Genomic DNA, 1,247 nt, shown 5'->3' on the forward strand with positions numbered 1-1,247 from the left:
TGAAATGTGCCTGTATTCCCAATTACTTGGGAGTCCAAGGCAGAAGGTTCACTGAAGGTTAAGAGTTTGAGGCCGAAATGAACTGTGATTGCACCACTGAAAAAATATTCTAATATTTTATCTAGAATTCTGGTTCAGTCTCAGTTTACATTTGATTAATAAACTCTGAATTAGGTATTTTGGGGTATAAAAATCATAAAATAGCCAAGCTGAGACTATATCATATTTTTAATTTCATTAAAAGAAAAAGTAGTATACCTGTAAATTTCTTTGAATACTATTTGAATACAGATTTGAGAAAATCTGCGTAAACCCAATAATTCAAAGAACATTTGAGTAAGGGAGAGTTCCTATTCAAGGAATTGAGTAACCAGATATGCTTTACCAATTTCTGTGTTCCTTGATTACCCAAAGCTACCCACTTTTCAAGTCAACTGCCCTTGGGCAAATGAAAGCTACATCTCTCATTTGAAAGAAGCTTCATAGCTTCCTCCTCTTGCTCTGAGGCAACCCTGAGCCAATAATCCATCTATACAAAGGGTAGAAAAGATCCACCCCCTTGCCTCATGACAGTCCAAACTCTATGGTGTGACTTATGCTTCCAAACTGAGCTTCCCTGAGTGAATAAACTGAAGCTAGTCTCTAACTTAAATAACCTGCTTACCATGCTTTTTTCCTTCCTGTACTTTGCCTCCCTCAGTCCCCTACTGCTGAGAACACTCCTCTAGTTCATCACTTGACCAGTTCATTGTTGACAAGAATCTCCTTTCTAGGCTCTACTTCTAGGGAGCCTTATCTGAGGTAAATTTCTACCACAAACTTAAAAAGAAAGTGCTATCTCCACTTTAGAGTAAGCCAGTCAAGCCTCCCAGACTGACCAACTATAAAGGGTATGATTAGTAACACTTTAGTACTCAGAATGGCATCAGACTATAGGTGTTACTTGAGTTACTAATAGATATTTTAGGAAACATTTACTCTAAGACTTTTTATATCACCTGAATCCAAAAGGAAAAGGCAAGTTACTAAGCCTCATAATTTTGATAATTATTATTTTCTGCACTTAGAACTTATGAAGAAAGAGAATTATGACCACCAATAAACACTCAAAAATCAGATCAGTTCCTGTGAAGCACGCTTTTTCCAAATTCTTTGACTTTTAGTTGTAGAACTATGTTAGGTCGTTTATTGTGGGCAATTTGTGGGTAAATAATTTTATTTATGTTATTAATAATAAAATGTTTTTA

At 35.6% G+C, this 1,247-nt stretch overlaps 1 annotated feature.

Annotated features, from left to right (window-relative positions):
* Positions 704-904: a silencer, noted in NCBI's record as "peak5393 fragment used in MPRA reporter construct". NCBI's record gives its function as "represses an SCP1 promoter by STARR-seq MPRAs in K562 erythroleukemia cells {active_cell/tissue: K562}" and the evidence as "EXISTENCE:reporter gene assay evidence [ECO:0000049][PMID:32103011]".

Source organism: Homo sapiens, chromosome 5 (genome assembly GCF_000001405.40).
Source record: "Homo sapiens chromosome 5, GRCh38.p14 Primary Assembly".
Taxonomy (NCBI): Eukaryota; Metazoa; Chordata; class Mammalia; order Primates; family Hominidae; genus Homo; species Homo sapiens.